General features: G+C 51.8%; 1 long non-coding RNA gene across 1 annotated transcript, besides 11 other annotated features; it reads right to left on the reverse strand.

The window, feature by feature from the left end:
- Positions 1,028-1,674: an enhancer, noted in NCBI's record as "H3K4me1 hESC enhancer chr2:43394830-43395476 (GRCh37/hg19 assembly coordinates)". NCBI's record gives its function as "activates a minimal SCP1, AML or CMV promoter by ChIP-STARR-seq in primed H9 embryonic stem cells {active_cell/tissue: H9 hESC(primed)}" and the evidence as "EXISTENCE:reporter gene assay evidence [ECO:0000049][PMID:30033119]".
- Positions 2,804-2,863: a silencer, noted in NCBI's record as "silent region_11419". NCBI's record gives its function as "represses an Ori minimal core promoter by ATAC-STARR-seq in GM12878 lymphoblastoid cells {active_cell/tissue: GM12878}" and the evidence as "EXISTENCE:reporter gene assay evidence [ECO:0000049][PMID:35858748]".
- Positions 2,967-3,612: an enhancer, noted in NCBI's record as "H3K4me1 hESC enhancer chr2:43396769-43397414 (GRCh37/hg19 assembly coordinates)". NCBI's record gives its function as "activates a minimal SCP1, AML or CMV promoter by ChIP-STARR-seq in naive H9 embryonic stem cells {active_cell/tissue: H9 hESC(naive)}" and the evidence as "EXISTENCE:reporter gene assay evidence [ECO:0000049][PMID:30033119]".
- Positions 3,287-3,581: an enhancer, noted in NCBI's record as "tiled region #1558; HepG2 Activating non-DNase unmatched - State 8:EnhW". NCBI's record gives its function as "activates a minimal TATA promoter and a strong SV40 promoter by Sharpr-MPRA in HepG2 cells {active_cell/tissue: HepG2}" and the evidence as "EXISTENCE:reporter gene assay evidence [ECO:0000049][PMID:27701403]".
- Positions 3,788-4,473: an enhancer, noted in NCBI's record as "H3K4me1 hESC enhancer chr2:43397590-43398275 (GRCh37/hg19 assembly coordinates)". NCBI's record gives its function as "activates a minimal SCP1, AML or CMV promoter by ChIP-STARR-seq in naive H9 embryonic stem cells {active_cell/tissue: H9 hESC(naive)}" and the evidence as "EXISTENCE:reporter gene assay evidence [ECO:0000049][PMID:30033119]".
- On the reverse strand, positions 4,816-8,912 carry LOC124907755 (uncharacterized). Its single transcript, XR_007086298.1, has 2 exons — positions 7,389-8,912; positions 4,816-5,125 (listed from the first exon to the last, which is right to left on the reverse strand). It is a non-coding gene; the product is annotated as an uncharacterized LOC124907755 (long non-coding RNA).
- Positions 7,540-7,619: an enhancer, noted in NCBI's record as "active region_15662". NCBI's record gives its function as "activates an Ori minimal core promoter by ATAC-STARR-seq in GM12878 lymphoblastoid cells {active_cell/tissue: GM12878}" and the evidence as "EXISTENCE:reporter gene assay evidence [ECO:0000049][PMID:35858748]".
- Positions 11,170-11,696: an enhancer, noted in NCBI's record as "H3K27ac-H3K4me1 hESC enhancer chr2:43404972-43405498 (GRCh37/hg19 assembly coordinates)". NCBI's record gives its function as "activates a minimal SCP1, AML or CMV promoter by ChIP-STARR-seq in naive H9 embryonic stem cells {active_cell/tissue: H9 hESC(naive)}" and the evidence as "EXISTENCE:reporter gene assay evidence [ECO:0000049][PMID:30033119]".
- Positions 11,697-12,221: an enhancer, noted in NCBI's record as "NANOG-H3K27ac-H3K4me1 hESC enhancer chr2:43405499-43406023 (GRCh37/hg19 assembly coordinates)". NCBI's record gives its function as "activates a minimal SCP1, AML or CMV promoter by ChIP-STARR-seq in naive H9 embryonic stem cells {active_cell/tissue: H9 hESC(naive)}" and the evidence as "EXISTENCE:reporter gene assay evidence [ECO:0000049][PMID:30033119]".
- Positions 11,697-12,818: a biological region, named in NCBI's record as "CRISPRi-validated cis-regulatory element chr2.1717". NCBI's record gives its function as "regulatory_interactions: ZFP36L2".
- Positions 11,962-12,818: a transcriptional cis regulatory region, noted in NCBI's record as "candidate enhancer chr2.1717 targeted for multiplex CRISPR interference". NCBI's record gives its function as "positively regulates ZFP36L2 gene expression in K562 cells {active_cell/tissue: K562}" and the evidence as "EXISTENCE:mutant phenotype evidence [ECO:0000015][PMID:30612741]".
- Positions 13,273-13,798: an enhancer, noted in NCBI's record as "H3K27ac hESC enhancer chr2:43407075-43407600 (GRCh37/hg19 assembly coordinates)". NCBI's record gives its function as "activates a minimal SCP1, AML or CMV promoter by ChIP-STARR-seq in primed H9 embryonic stem cells {active_cell/tissue: H9 hESC(primed)}" and the evidence as "EXISTENCE:reporter gene assay evidence [ECO:0000049][PMID:30033119]".

A 16,436-nucleotide genomic window follows, 5' to 3' on the forward strand; every position in this document is an offset into this window, starting at 1 on the left:
CTCGGGAGGCTGAGGCAGGAGAATTGCTTGAACCCAGGAGGTGGAGGTTGCAGTGAGCTGAGATCGTGCCACTGCACTCCAGCCTGGACAACAGAGCAAGACTCTGTCTCAAAAATAAATAAATAAATAAGGGGGCCGGGCGCAGTCGCTCACGCCTATAATCCCAGCACTTTGGGAGGCCAAGGCGAGCGAATCACGAGGTCAGGAGATTGAGACCACCCTGGCTAACACAGTGAAACCCCGTCTCTACTAAAAATACAACAAAATTAGCCAGGCGTGGTGGTGGGCACCTGTAGTCCCAGCTACTCAGGAGGCTGAGGCAGGAGAATGGCGTGAACCCGGGAGGTGGAGCTTGCAGTGAGCTGAGATTGCACCACTGCACTCCAGCCTGGGTGACAGAGCAAGACTCCGTCTCAAAAAAAGAAAGAAAGAAAGAGAGAGAAAGAAAGAAAGAAAGAAAGAAAGAAAGAAAGAAAGAAAGAAAGAAAGAAGGAAAGAAAGAAAAGCCTTGTGGTGGCTCACGCCTGTAATCTCAGCTCTTTGTAGGTGGATGGATCACCTGAGCCCAGGAATTTGAGAACAGCCTGGGTAACATGGTGAAACCCTGTCTCTATTTTTTTTTTTAACCACCACATCTGGCCTACCTGTCCCTATGATTATTATTATTATTTTGAGACAGAGTCTTGCTCTGTCACCCGGGCTGGAATGCAATGGCATGATCTCAGCTCACTGCAATCTCTGCCTCCCAGGTTCAAGTGATTCTCCTGCCTCAGCCTCCCAAGTAGCTGGGATTACAGGCATGTACCACCACACCCGGCTAGTTTTTGTATTTTTAGTAGTGATGGGGTTTTGCCACGTTGGCCAGGCTGGTCCAGAACTCCTGACCTCAGGTGATTCGCCCTCCTCGGCCTCCCTAAGTGCTGGGATTACAGGCATGAGCCACCACGCTCGGCCCCTATTATATTTTTAAAAATTATACTTTTAAATAAAAAAAAGAAAAGGCTTTCCACATCCAGAATTGTGTACTAAGCCTCGCTCCCTCTGAGAAACAGCATATACAGATGCCCACAGCTATGGGCCTTCTTCCTTCTTCTGCTCCAGGGGCAAGTAAAAGGAGGTGCAGTGAGGCAAAGGGGTGGAGGCTCAGGAGAGTGATAGGGGAAGAAATGAGCAGAGTTTCAGGAGATGAAACAGAGCAAAAGTTTGAGGTCTGAGACCAGTGAGATTCAGAGGCAGGGGCTGCTGGGGGCAGGGACTGTGGGGGCAGGGGCGGTAGGGAATGGAGGAAAGAGCATGGATCTGGGGCTCTGCTGCTCACCAGTTAGGTGACCTGGGCAATCCCCAGGCCTCTCTAAGCCTCAGTTTCCTGAGCTAGTGGAAGCCCCTAGGTCACAGGGCTATTGTAGGGATGGGTGTGCTCCTGAGGAAAACTAGCATGAGCTTGGCACCAGGCAGGTGAGGCCATGTGCTGCTCTCTGGGCCCCCAGCTTCTGTCCCCCAGACCCTGGTGTCAGACAGGACCTGGTGAGAAATCCTTGCGGCCCTAGCCTGCCTAAGCTGTGGAGGGGCTTGTCCAGGACCTGCCAGGCAGAGGCTGCAGAAGGGTTCACTTGGCCTTTTCAGTCCCTCTCAGTCCCTTACTGTCTGCCTCTCAAGAACATCCTGGCACTTGCTGCTCCACAGCCCTGCTGGGGTCCTGGGTGGGACTTTCTGGGGGCAGAGGAAGAAATTCCAGGGCCTGCCCTTGACGAGCTCATAGTCTAACTGGGAAGAGAGTAGTGGCTCACTATCCAGAAAACATGGAAAAGAGACTGTGGTTTGGAGAAAGCAGGAAGCGTTCAGAAGCGGGAGGCAGAACAGGGGAAGGCGCTGGAGCCTGAAGGATGGAGCGGACCAAGTGCAGAGGGGATGGAGGGCACTGCAGGCAGGAGGCACAGCGAGAAGAATGGCCTGGAGGGTTGGATGGGGAACACGGGGTCCTAGAGACGGAAGCAGGGTCCAGGCTGTGAGTGGTGGGGCCGCCTCAGCTGGGGAGTTATGGTAAGGATAAACAGAAGGGCTCTGGGGCCGCCCAGAGTGCATACCCCCCAGGGTGCAGACGGGGGAACAGCAATTGTCTCTGAGGGGGATCCTCACCTCCCTATCTCATCGGCCTAGGAGACAGGACCTCACTTGACTGGCCCACAGCCAGGCCCTGGCTGTGTTGACAAATGGGTCCTTCCCCCTGGCCTGGTGAGCTGAGATGTGGCATTGTTAAGCTGCAAGTGAGTCACAGAACTTTTCCTTCCCTTTCTTCCTCTCTGCCCTGCTTGTCCCACACCCTGCTCATTTTTTTTTTCTCTCTCTCTCTCTCTCTCTCACACACACACACACACACACACACTTGCCTTTCAGAACCTGTGAACTATAAATAAGTGCTTTATCACCATAAATGACTTGATCCAGGCTAGGGTCGTGAGGGGCTTGGCTCAGGTTCCTGGGCATGTGGATACCTGCAGAGTGGGTTCCTGAGCACGTGAGGGCACAAGCGTGCAGTCTCGGACAAGGTGGAGTCTCAATGTGTGAGCTTGCTGAGGCCAGGGCAGTGTCTGGGAAGGGAGTGGAGGCATCTTTGTGTCTGTGGGGTTGTGGTGGGAGGGAGGTTTCGGGGGCTGTGAGGCGAGCACAGGCGTGTGTGCTGTCTATGCCCCCAAGGGGACAGGGCGTGGGTGGAGAACGTATTTGTGCCCGAGGTGTGTCCGCAGGGATATCCGTGTGGTGAGTGTGGGAGGAGGGGCGCTGGGCATGGAGGAAGTGTTTCTGTCTGTCTGTGTGTGTGTTGTGGGGGTGGCGGGGATTGGCGGGGGTGGGTTGTGCCTGGCCAGCCAACCTTTACATCTGGTTCTGCAGGATGTGAAAAGGTTTGTGACTGAGGCCAGTGGCACACCCTCCAGTCGGATCAGAGGGTTGGAGATAAACCCAAGTGAGCAAGCATTGGTGGCTGTGGCCGTGTGGTGTCCCATTCCTGGGGGGCTCCAGGAGATAGGGAAGCTCATCTGACTTCCTGAGGGCCTGGCAGCCCCTCCTGCCCTCCTCAAGGTGGTCCATCTGCCACGCCAAGCCCAGCCAGAGAGAAGGGGCACCCGGAGCACAGTGCCTGTGACTCTGCAGGCAGGGCACCGGCGGGCACCCAGGGAGGACCTGCTCTGTTCCCACTCACGAGCCCCTCCCACCTGACGCCGCCCCAGCTAGACTGAGAACCCCAGGAGGCAGGGCTTGACTTTTCTTTCTTCTCCCAGCCTCAGTCTCCCCAGATGTCAAAGGAGGACAATGATCTCTACAGAGAGGGGCTAACTGCACCGGGGTGAGCTTGGCGTCGTGGCTGGCAGGGAACGGAGGCTCCCTTCCTTCACCTCCCAGCCTCCAAAGAAAAGGTTCAGTTGAGGCCTCCTTGGGGGTGGGTGCGGGTCCTTGGGCCATCTCTAGGGGGCGCTGACAGTCAGCCAGCACGTGCCTGCACCTGTCCCTAGTTAAATGAGCAAAAGACAGCTGAAAAAAAGAACCCAGGCAGGCCTTGGGGCAGGGCAGAGGGTCTTGAGGCTAAGTGTGAATGGGGGATGGAAGTTCAGTGGGGCGTGACTGGAGGGTTTGTCTGGGGCATGTGTGACTTCTGTCACCCACTGGCCTAAGAAAGAGCACCAAAGGCCCTTCTGTGAATAAACTCTCAGGCTAACGCAGGCTGGGCTTCATGGAAGGGATGGAAGGGAAGGTAGTCCTTGGATGTTTGGTTGAGGCCCCACTCCTCCTGGGATGGTGGAAGGAGGGCAATGAGGCATCAATGGGGTTTCCTTCTTTCCCTCTCCTTTGCGAGCCTCACCAAGGCAGGCCTGCCACCTGGAGCCCCTCAAGGAGATGAGAATCCACAGTCCCCGTGCCAGGAGGTGGCAGCAGGCAGAGTGATGGGCCCTGGAGGGAGGGCTCACTTGGGGCACTCTCGCCTTTTAAAGGCGGCTGCTTTCTCCTGGGATTACCCCCATGATTTGGGGTCCCTGGGGGCAATGCCATGGCCTCCATGCAACCAGGCCTCCTGAGTGGCTGCATTGCTGGCAGGGAGGTAGCTCTAAGGTCAATTCTGAACCTGCCTCCCTCCAGCACTGCCCATCCATAAAGGGCATCTGTGCCCAGGCAACACCCACCCACCTGGGGCTTGGGGAGCCGGGGCTGCTGCAAACACAGTGCCGCAGTGAAAGTGGGACAAACGCGCCTGTGTGCATCCTGGCCGAGGTGCCGGAGGAAGCGTGGTCGGGGCAGAAGTGTTAATGGGCCTCCTTCCTGCCGTGCCCTGCCCGTGCCAGCTCCTCGGTGCTCATCCCGGCTCCCTGAAATGCTCGCTTCCACTCAGGGCCAGCGCACTCCCTCCACGTCCCTGGCCGCAGATCTGTCCTGCTTTGACAAATAACCCGCTCAGCCTTCGGGTTTATGGTTTTTCCGTGCGCCTTCCTTCATGTGGTTGGGAACCAAGCTCTGGTCTCCAGAGCTGTGTGGGGCTGGGAATGGCGCCTGGACCTGCAGGGCTCCCCAAGCAACAGTGCAGGGGGACTGGAATCCTGCTCTCAGGGAGACAGGGCCCATCAGGGAACCACGTAGGAGGGCCAGCGCCGCATGCTAAAGGGGCATAGGCAAGGGAAGGGGTCTGCAGGGACAGTCTGCAGGAGCCAGGAGGGCTTCCTGAAGGAGGCTGAGCTTGAAGGATGGAGGGGCCAAAGGAGACCATTCCAAAAGCAGACAGCACCAGCCCACAGGATGGTGAGCAGCAACTGCAAGAAGAGAAGCTTGGGCACTCGTGGGTTTGTTTTTATTTTTGCTTTTAAATGTAATATTTGGGCCGGCTGTGGTGGCTCATGCCTGTAATCCCAGCACTTTGGGAGGCCGAGGCGGGTGGATCACCTGAGGTCAGAGTTTGAGACCACCCTGACCAACATGGAGAAACCCCGTCTCTACTAAAAAATATATATATATATTAGCCAGGCCCCAACTACTCGGGAGGCTGAGGCAGGAGAATCGCTTGAATCCAGGAGGCGGAGGTTGCAGTGAGCTGAGATCGCACCATCGTACTCCAGCCTGGGCAGCAAAAGTAAAACTCCATCTCAAAAAAAAAAAAAAAAAAAGTAATATTTGTTAAGCAACAACTGTGCCCTGTGCTAAGTAAGTCTCATGAGTTCATTATCTCATTAATTTTCACAAAAACTCGCAAGTACTGTCAACCTCATTTTATAGGTGACAATCCTGGGGCCCAGGAGATAAAGTAGCATGCCTTGGGGGAGAGCTGGTTAGTGGCAGAACAAGGATGGAAGCCCTGGCAGGCATCCAAGGCAGGATCCACATGTTAAAGAGAAACCACTACACTGCACATTCTGGTCAGTCACTGTTGGACTTTTGCATTTGAGCCAGGGCTACCCATCTGGTGTCCCTGAGTCCCTGGGTCTGCCCCAGGAGGGCCAAGGAGGAATCAACTAATTCCAGGGCTATCTGTCCCCTCAAAGACACAAATTTGCACATGCTGGGAGCCTCAAGCCCCTTAGGAATCAGCATCATCCACAAGCTGATGCCTCCCACATAAGGGAACACATTTTCTTTTTTTCTTTTTTTGAGTCAGAGTCTCACTCTGTTGCTCAGGCTGGAGTACAGTGGCTCAGTCTCGGCTCACTGCAACCTCTGCCTCCCAGGTTCAAGCAATTCTCCTGCCTCAGCCCCCCGAGTAGTTGGGATTACAAGTACCAGCCACCATGTCCGGCTAATTTTTTGTATTTTTAGTAGAGACGGGGTTTCACCATGTTGGCTAGGCTGGTCTCGAACTCCTAACTTCAGGTGATCCGCCTGCCTCAGCCTCCCAAAGTGCTGGAATTACAGATGTGAGCCACCACACCCAGCCAAGGGGACACATTTTCAAAAGTACTTAGGGCTGTTGAATAAAATATACACTCATCTAAAAGCATTGCATGCCGGGCACAGTGGCTCATGCTTGTAATACCAGCACTTTGGGAGGCCAAGGTGGGCAGATCACCCGAGGTCAGGAGTTCAAGACCAGCCTGACCAACACAGACAAACCCCATCTCTACTAAAAATACAAAAAGTTAGCTGGGCGTGGTGACGCATGTCTGTAATTCCAACTACTCAGGAGTCTGAGGCAGGAGAATTGCTTGAACCCCAGAAGCGGAGGTTGTGGTGAGCTGAGATCATGCCATTGCACTCCAGCCTGCGCAACAAGAGCGAAACCCCATCTCAAAAATAAATAAATAAATAAAATTTTAAAAAAATTAAAGCACAGATGAAGGTATCCTTGCAGATGGTCATTTGTCTTTTTTTTTTTTTTTTTTTTTTTTGAGACGGAGTCTTGCTCTGTCACCCAGGCTGGAGTGAAGTGGCACAATCCGGGCTCACTGTAAGCTCCACCTCCCGAGTTCACACCATTCTCCTGCCTCAGCCTCCTGCGTAGCTGGGACTACAGGCATGTGCCACCACGCCCAGTTAATTTTTTTTTTTTTTTTGTATTTTTAGTAGAGACGGGGTTTCACCATGTTAGCCAGGATGATCTCGATCACCTGACCTCATGATTCGCCTGCCTCGGCCTCCCGAAGTGCTGGGATTATGGGGGTGAGCCACCACGCCCAGCCCATTTGTCCTTTTTTTAATCAAAAGATTTTAAAAGTACAAGTACTGCCACAGAGTGCAGGTCTGCAAAGTGTTTCGACTCTACAAAAGAGTGTTTGTATTTTAAAAGTTCAGGAACCATTTTACGGACTAAGACACTGAGGCCCTAGGAGATAGGGCTTCTTGGCCAAGTTGCAGAGCCAGCTGGGGCCCAGGGAGTTTAATCCAAGTGGTGTGGGTCTCCCTTTCTCTCTGTTCAGGGAAGTGCCCCCTTCATCCCCTCAGAGAAGGGCCCCAGGACTGCAGGACAGGCCATGGGGGGTGCAACCTTGGGAGGCATGAAGCTTGAGGAACTGAAGGGCTAGGAGAAATTCAAGGGCTGGGCACAGTGGGTCACACCTATAATCCCAGCATTTTGGGAGATCAAGGCAGGTGGATCACCTGAAGTCAGGAGTTCAACACCAGCCTGGCCAACATGGTGAAACCCCGTCTCTACTAAAAGTACAAAAAAATTAGCTGGGCGTAGTGGCAGGTGCCCATAATCCCAGCTACTTGGGAGGCTGAGGCAGGAGAATGGCTTGATCCCAGGAGGCAGAGGTTGCAGTGAGCCGAGATTGCGCCATTGCATTCCAGTCTGGGCAACAAGAGGGAAACTCCATCTCAAAAAGAAAAGAAAAAGAAATTCAAAGGCAAGGTTAGACTGTCTCTTAACAGACTGGGGACAACCCCAAGAAATAAGAAGGCACCCCCAGCCTCACCTGTTATTTACTTCTCAGAGCCTTCTGTGAGTCCAGCATTTGCAGGTCCTGCCATGGAAGAAGCCGGCTCTGGGTGGACAAGCAGGAAGACAGGAGGGTGGCCCTGGGTATACCATACCACTGGGCTCATGATATAGACCCCCCCAGTGGAAGGAAGCAAAGGAAAGACATTTCTGGGACATTTAGTGTAGGCCCAGCACTGTGTTTTTACAAGCGAGTATTTTTGTTTTTAATCTCAACAACCCTATGACTCCCATTTATACAGATACACCTCAGACCAGTGAAAAGCAGTTAAAAGGCAGAGCCGGCACTTAAACTTGACCCCACAACGTGGCCTGATCTGTGTTCTGGGGGTCTCCCCAGGCGCCGAGCTGCCAGGAGAAGGGTTGCCAGAGGGAAAGAGGAGGAGGTGTTGGCCCAGCCCCCACAGCCCCAGCCCAGGCGAACATCCTCTCAGCCTGCCTTTATTGTTCACAAAACCGAAAAAGTGATGATGGTTTTCCTTCCTCTCTTTAAGAAAACAACAGAATCAAAACAAACAGAGAAGGGGAACTCCCCTCCTGTAGCTTTTGCCAGAAATGAAAGGAAGAAATAATCCCCGTCATGACCTGGGCCGCCTCACTGCTGCAACAGGGTCTGGGAGGGGAAGAGAAAAACCCCTGCCCCCCGACCATAAAACCCAGAGTTTCTGCTTCCTGATACTGATACAAGCTCAACCTCACCCCCAGCAAATCCCTCACTGTCCTCTGTCCATCACCTCACACCGAAGATCTGACACACACACACACACACACACACACACATACACACAGCTGAAGCAGCTGAAACTTCCCAAAGAGCTTTAGTAAATCCTAAGGAAGGGCAAAGAGGAAATAAAAACATACAAGTCCAGGAAATAAAAACAGCCCTCAAAATGCATTCCAGCATGTTTGACCCCCCATAGTCACTTCCCACTTGAGGCTCCCAGGTCCTACCCCATTTCTCACTCCAGAGCTACCTGCACTGAGGCCCCCAAAGGACTAGAATAGCCTCACAGGGTCCTTTCCAAGCTCTAGATTTGGGCTTGCCTGTATCTCAGCTGCCTCAACAATCAAAGTCTAGAGCAGCGTAGAGCTTATGGTAATACAGGACACCAGATCCCATCCTCACAGGAGCCCTCTCATTCATAACTTAATATAGCTTTTAATTCCAGATAGCTTGTGCTGATTGGCTCACTTGGAGTGACTGGCAGCCTTCAGAGATCACTCTGTCCACAGTACACAGGGTTGTGGCCTTAAAGGCTCAGCAAGGTCATCATTTCTGAGCCTACAGTAACAGCCCTGTGGTCTCACAGAATGGGACCACCTGGTCAGCCTCATTCTTTAACAGGGACTCTAGGGCCCATAGCACCTTTTGAAAACTTCTGGATAAATTAAGGAATTTGTCTGTGGTCTGGATTCAAGGTCAGCGGGAGAACAGTTTTTCTCCATTATTACTAATTAGCCTCAGCAAAGACTAAATGACTACTTAGTAATATACTCAGTACTGTACCTGGTCCTGTGGGAAATGTACATATGAAGATAGATGAGTCTCAAAGCCTCTCAGGGGCAAGAGAAGGATGGAGGCAGGGAGAGGTTTCTGCCTAAACAATCAGAAAAGAGTCTATATGAAAACTCCTCTAAGAGCTGTTGGAGGGTTGGAGGGGATAAGGCAGCATGTGTGACATTGCTAACTGTTTGAGGATTATGGACCACAATGACCTGAGCTCCCTGAGGTCAGAAAATGTCTTGCCCCTTTTGGGTCTCAGGACTGATAGGTCCTGCACTTAGGAGGGGCTCAATTGGCATCTGTTGGGTGAATCACCATTTTCTGGCTTCACTGGCAGCAGATGGTCAGAGGAGGTCAAGCAATGATTATTCTCCTGAAGAAGAGACCAGACCAGGGCTGAAGCCAGATCTTCTACCTCTCTGAGCAATCCCTTTTTCTCAGCAGCCTCAATGCCCCACTCAGCCTTCAACCTTTCTCAACTGAACAGCAAGATAGTTATCCTCCTTTGCATTGTGGCTTTTTTTTTTTTTTTTTCGAGACGGAGTCTAGCTCTGTCACCAGGCTGGAGTGCAGTGCGCGATCTCGGCTCACTGCAACCTCCACCTTCTGGGTTCAAGCAATTCTGCTGCCTCAGCCTCCCAAATAGCTCGGATTACAGGCACGCGCCGCCACACCCAGCTAATTTTTGTATTTTTAGTAGAGACAGGGTTTCACCATGTTGGCCAGGATGGTCTTGATCTCCTGACCTCGTGCTCCACCCAACTCGGCCTCCCAAAGTGCTGGGATTACAGGTGTGAGCCACTGTACCCAGCCTGCACTGTATTTTTAATATATTCTCCAAGTGGCCTCTGGAGTTATTGTGCCAAAACACAGGTCAGATTATGTAATTCCCTTCCTCAGAAGCCTTTGCTGGCTCCCCATTGCCTGATGAATAAAGTCCTGGCTCTTTAGCCTGGCAATTAAGGCTGTTACTGCTGCTTCTCCCATCCCTCCATCCCCTGGAACTGGAATAAGCAGAGTGGCTAAAGGCTCAGGCTCCACACACAGGCTCCTGAGTTAAGATTCTGGCTCCACTCCAGAGCCTCTTTCTGAGCCTCTGTTTCCTGTTTATAAAATGGAAATAAGAAGAATGTCCACCTGTGAGGATTAAATAAGGTAGGTTTTTTGTTTTGTTTTGTTTTGTTTTGTTTGTTTGTTTTTTGAGACAGGGTCTCGCTCAGTCATCCAGGCTGGAGTGCAGTGGCTTAATCTCAGCTCACTGTAGCCTCCCAGGCTCAGGTGATTCTCCCACCTCAGCTTCCAGAGTAGCTGGGACTACAGGCGTGCACCACCACACCCAGCTAATTTTTGTATTTTTTGTAGAGACTGTTTTTGGCCATGTTGCCCAGGCTGGTCTTGAACTTACGGGCTCAAGCAATCTGACTGCCTCGGCCTCCCAAATTGCTGGGATTATGGGCATGAGCCACCACGCCTGGCCAAACAAGGTAAGCTCTGCATAGAGATACAGTAGGCCCTCCCTATCCTCAGGCTCCACATCAATGGATTCAACCAACCACGGATGGAAAGTATACTAAAAACATGATAAAAATAACAATACAATGAAAAATGATACAACATTTTAAAATACAGCATAATAAATATTTACATAGCACCCAGGCCTAGTGGCACACGCCTGTAATCCCAACACTTTGGGAGGCTGAAGCAGGAGGATTGCTTGAGCCTGGAAGTTCAAGACCAGACTGAGCAACATAGAGAGATCGTAGCTGTACAAAAAATTTTTTTAATGAGCTGGGCGTGGTGGTGTGTCCCTGTAGTCTCAGCTAATCCAGAGGCTGAGGTAGGAGGATCATTTGAACCTGGGAGGTCGAGGCTGCAGTGAGCCATGATCAAGCCACTGCACTCCAGCCAGGGGCCACAAAGCAAGACCTTATCTCTACAGGAAAAAAAAAAAAAATACATAGCATTTACATTGTATTAGGTATTATAAGTAATCTAGAGATAATTTAAAGTATACCTGAGTCATTCATGCCTGCTTAGCCAAAAATAAAGTATGCAAGAAGTTAGGTGTGGGTTATTTGTAAATACTATGCCATTTTATATCACGGACTTGAGCTTCTGTGGATTTCAATATCCATGGGAGTCTTGGAACCAATCCCCCCGCCACAATACCCCTAGGATACAGAGGGAGGGACAACTGTTCACAGAGGAGCTCCCAACACTTGTTGGGTTTCCTCAACATTGCAAGGATGATAGTTTTGTCTTCTCCAATGGCCCAGGAAGCTTTTTGAGGGCAGGTACCATGTGATACTTGCCTTGTGTCCACACCCACACCACCCCCATTGTGGACCACTGGACCATTGTGGGAGCTCAGTTCTATGGACTGAGTGGTTCTGTAGACCCAACAGTGGATAGGGCCAAGACAGGGGGCCTGGGAGATTGTGGATATCATCACCCCCTGGCCCTGGTGCACTCATACTCAGTTCTTAAGACCCAGCTCTTTCTGACTCCTCCAGAAAGACTTCTCTGTCCCTCAGGCTGGGTCAGGCCCCTCAGCGTCCCACTGCACACATGGCAGATAAGTCTTGATCGATGTGCTGTGATAAAGCAGTTATCTGTGTGTACAGCTGGCTCCCCAAGAGACCGTGCCCTCCCTTCTCACTATTCTCTGGAGTCAGGCTCTGTAGCAGCCCAACATGGTTTTGATGAATGAATTAATAAATTTGCTCTGTGATCATGAGCAAATTCCCTCTGTCCTGTTCTCAACAACGGGAAGGCACTATCTTTACTAGATAAGTGAGAGGAAGGGGCCCGGAGGTGGAGGAGGCAGGGCCAGAGGAGGAATGGAGTGGCTCGTGACACCCACTGTGGGCAGATGGGATCTGTTAGGAGTGGCTTTGGCTCACTGGGGCAGGCCAGGGTGGAGAACTGTCACATACCCTGGTGTACCTCTGGCAAGGAGCTCTGGTGCCATGTGGGAATAGAAGTGCATGGTCCCTTGGCAAGGCTAACGTTTTGTTTTTAAAGAAGTCTGTGTTTCCAGCCTCTTCCTATCTAGTGACCTGGTCCCTGAGACCTGCCCACCCTCCCGGGCCATAGCACCAGCCATGCGACCTTGAACCGGTCACCACTCATCCCTGAACCTCCAAGTTCTCAGCTCTACTGACAGGGCTGCAGTGCCTTCATGGGCTGGTGCCTGCCTGGGAGGGAGCCCAGGGATAGAAGCCTGGTTCGCTGGCCACCTCCCGCTGGGGCGTTGGCCCAGGCTGCCAGGTTTCACGTTTCAGCTTTCAGAGTGTTTTCTTGTCTAGGGCACTTTCTATTTTTCAATACTTTTCCTATCACAGCCAAACAACAAAAAAGGAAATTGGTTGAGCCTTCTGAAGACCAAGGTCTGGGAGGGTGGGGGTGGGCAGAACCCACCATGGGAAAAGCTGGAGTCAGGGCTGAGGGAGGAGAGGCCTCTCCACCCGATTCCCCAGCACCCCTGCTCCCCTTCCTCCGGGGCTGACTCATTGTTTTGCAACAAACAGCCGGCAGCCAGGTCCCAGCAGTTTCTCAAGCCTGGCCCCCAGGCTGGCTGGGCTCAATCCTGGCCCTCCCAACTGCCTGGCCAGGCCCTGAACGATTGAGTTATCTCCACTCGCATCCCCTTTGTTTGGGGCGGCTACTTGCCCACTCAAGGTAAACAAATTCTGGGCCTGTGTGAAAAGAAAGGAACGGTTATCTCTGAGGCCCTCAGCGGCCTGGCTGGGGAGCAAGACTTTCAGAGGCTTCTGTCTCCAAAGAGAGGAGGGATTTCGGAGCATAGCGTCCAGAGGCCAGCTGCCTGGGTTCAAGCTCCACCTCGGCCACTGACTGCTGATGACCTTGGGCAAGTCCCTGACCTTCTGCTTCAACTTTTTTACCTGTAAAATTTGGGCACAATAATATCTATATCATAAAGTTGTTCTGAGGATTGATGAGTTCATATTTATAAAATGCTACATAAAGGATGTGAGGTTTTTTGGGGTTTTTTTGTTTTATTTTGTTTTTTGAGACCGAGTCTCGTTCTGTTGCCCAGGCTGGAGCGCAGTGGGGCAATCTTGGCTTACTGCAACCTCTGCCTCCCGGGCTCAAGCGATTCTTCTGCCTCAGACTCCTGAGTAGCTGGGACTACAGTCACACACCTCACACACCACCACGCCCAGCTAATTTTTATATTTTTAGTAGAGACAGGGTTTCTCCTTGTTGGCCAGGGTCGTCTCGAACTCCTGACCCCAGGTGATCCACCCGCCTCAGCCTCCCAAAGTGCTGGGATTAGAGGTGTAAGCCACCGCACCCGGCCTGATGTGAGTTTTTTAAAAAGCTACGTACAAGAGATGTTAAATGGGGGAAAAGGTGGGGGGTCCACAGGTAACATTAAATAAACTCAACACCCAAGGCCAGGCTCAGAGGGATTTTCCAGTGCCCCCTCCTCCACCCCACACCTGCTCCCACCCCCACCCCCTCCCCAGCAGGCCAGGCTCCTCCACTCTGCATCCCTGAGCCAGGGCATCGAACGGCCCAGCGGGGTCGGTACCGAGGCCCTAAGCTCCTTTTCAAATGGAAGCCGTACAGGGGAAATCCTCCAGGGAGGTAGGCGCCAGCCTGGGAGGATCTGGCCACCTGAGGACTTACTCAGAGAGGCTTTGGGGTTTGCATCCAGAGCTTTTGGAATTTCAAAAAGATGTCCCCACAGACGATGGGCCTGCAGGGGTGAAATGATGGAGGGAGGGTGGCCATGTCACCACCTCTCACCCACGGTGGGCTCTGTCCTACCATTTTCTTGTCTGGACTGATTTTTCCAAATAGCTGATTTCTCAGGCTCCAGATTCCAATCTGGTCCTGACACTTACTAGCTGGGAGACTTTGAGCGAGCTACTTTCTTTCTCTCAAGCTCCGTTTCCTTGTCTGTAGCAGGACATATTAATCCCTGCCTTGCATGGTGGGCAGGGTAGTAGATGAGGCAGCACAGGCCAAGCTCTTTGTGTGGGGCCTGGGTGTGAGGCCAGGGTTCCATTTGTGGTGTCCTCTCCCTCTCCCCCACCCCCACCCTTGTCTCCACCCCAGCTCCATCCCTAAGCCACACTATGGCCTTGAATAGCTCCTGTCTCAGCTTTTGTGCTGAGTGCCTGAGAATCTCCGTACCCCTAATCTGACTCCATTTGGTTGCCCCCACCCCACTCTAGCTCCAGCATCCTTTCTGGTGAGTCTAAGCACCTGGGGTCTGGATCCTCAGCCTCTCCCTTCCTGGTTCTCCCAAGGGTGCCAATATTGCATGAAGCTAACAGAGTGTACTTGAGAGCCCAAGAGATTGGGGTGACATCTAGGCTCCTCCACTCACTGGCAGCGAGACCCTAGCACAAGCCATGGGTCCTCCCCAAGCCTCTGTCACTCACTCATTTATTCAGCACATGTCTCTGAGCACCTGCTCTGTGCCTGACATTACGCTGGGTGCCGCAGGTACAATGGTGAACGACACAGACCCAATCCCTGCCCTGGGAGAGTGAATCATCTAGCAACGGAGACAAATATTCAATACACACCCAACGCATAGTTAGTGAGTATTGCAGAGAGTGAAGGGTGCGATGGGATCAGATTTCCCAGCGGGCCCAAGAGAGGGTATCCCTAAAGCTTACACCAGCAACTGAAGGATATCTAGGAATGATAGGAGCTAGGGAAGTAGAGATGGGGAGAGCACTGGACAAACAGCAGAAACAGCATGTACAAAAGCCCTGAGGTCAGAAGAGCTGGGTACTCCTTGTACTGAAAGGAGGCCACAGTGAGGGAGCAAAAGATAGACCAAAGATGAGGTTGGGAAGTAGACAGGGCTGAATCTGGCGAGAACACACAGGTCTTGGGAAGGACTCTTGACTGGAACCAGTGAGTGGTTTTAAGTGGTGGGGGGCATGGCTGCAGTTCTTGCTGTACTCCAGTAGCTGAAGGGGTAATGGCTTAGAGCGGGTTTCAGGAGACCAGGGAGGAGGCTATCTTCCAGGGGAAGAGTGGTTGGACTTGGAGGGGATAGTGGAGCCGGAGAGAAGGGGCAGAGCCAAGATGTGCGCAGGGAGTGGGTACAATAGGACCTGGTGATAGGGCAGTTATGGAGGTCAAAGGAGAAGATGTCAAATATACCGCTCAGGTTTCTGACTGGGGAAACTGGGTGGGGCCAGTTACTGAGATGGGAAACCCCAGAGGAGGGGCAGATTTGTTGGGAGAAGGGAGAGCAGGAATTTAGTTTTTGAGATCTATTTTTGAGATATCCCTAGCAAGTAAGCAACTGGATATATCAGTATTTTTTTTTTTTAAAAAGAAGGGGTCTCACCATGTTGGCCAGACTGGTCTTGAACTCCTGGCCTCAAGCAATCTTCCCACCTTGGCCTTGAAAAGTGCTGGGATTACAGTCTTGATTTTAAAAGAAAGGGGCTGGGCACCATGGCTCACACCTGTAATCTGAGCACTTTAGGGGGCCGAGGCAGGTGGATCACTTGAGGTCAGGAGTTTGAGAGCAGCCTGGCCAACATGGTGAAACCCTGCTTCTACTAAAAATACAAAAATTAGTCAGCATGGTGGCACACGCCTATAATCCCAGCTACCTGGGAGGTGAGGCACGAGAATCACTTGAACCCAGGAGGTTGCAGTGAGCCGAGATCAGGCCACTGCACTCCAGCCTGGGCAACAGAGTGAGGCTCCATCTCAAAAAAAAAAGTATCAAAAAAATAAAAATGCCAGTGCGGTGGCTCATGCCTGTAATCCCAGCACTTTGGGAGGCCGAGGGAGGCGGATCACCTGAGGTCAGGAGTTCGACACCAACCTGGCCAACATGGTGAAACCCCATATCTACTAAAAACACAAAATTAGCTGGGGGTGGTGGCGCATGCCTGTAATCCTAGCTACTCAGGAGGCTAAGGCAGGAGAATCACTTGAACCCGGGAGGCAGAGGTTGCAGTAAACTGAGATTGCGCCATTGCACTCCAGCCTGGGCAACAGGAGTGAAACTCTGTCTCGAAATAAATTAGTAAATAAATTAATTAAAAATAAAAGAAACATCAGCTGGGTGCAGTGGCTCACACCTGTAATCCCAACATTTCGGGATGCCGAGGAGGGCGGATCACTTGAACTCAGTAGTTTGAGACCAGCCTAGGCAACATGGCGAAACCTCATCTCTACAAAAAAATATAAACAATTAGTCAGGCATGGTGGTGCACACCTGTAGTCCCAGGTACTCGGGAGCTTAGGAGGCTAAGGTGGGAGGATCACCTGAGCCTGGGAGGTGGAGGTTGCAGTAAGCGGAGATTGTGCCACTGAACACAAGCCTGGGCAACAGAGTGAAACCCCGTCTCAAATAAGTAAAACAAAGAAATTTTCTAGATTGAAAATTGGAAATCGTAGAGGTGGAATTAAAAGACAGGAATGGGAAGATTGTTTGGGAGAGAGTAATCACGGCTCTCAAATAATCAGCCAAAGAGAACTCAGCCCAGGGCCTGAAGACCACCCCACTTA

This window comes from Homo sapiens, chromosome 2, assembly GCF_000001405.40.
Source record: "Homo sapiens chromosome 2, GRCh38.p14 Primary Assembly".
In the NCBI taxonomy this organism is placed as follows: Eukaryota; Metazoa; Chordata; class Mammalia; order Primates; family Hominidae; genus Homo; species Homo sapiens.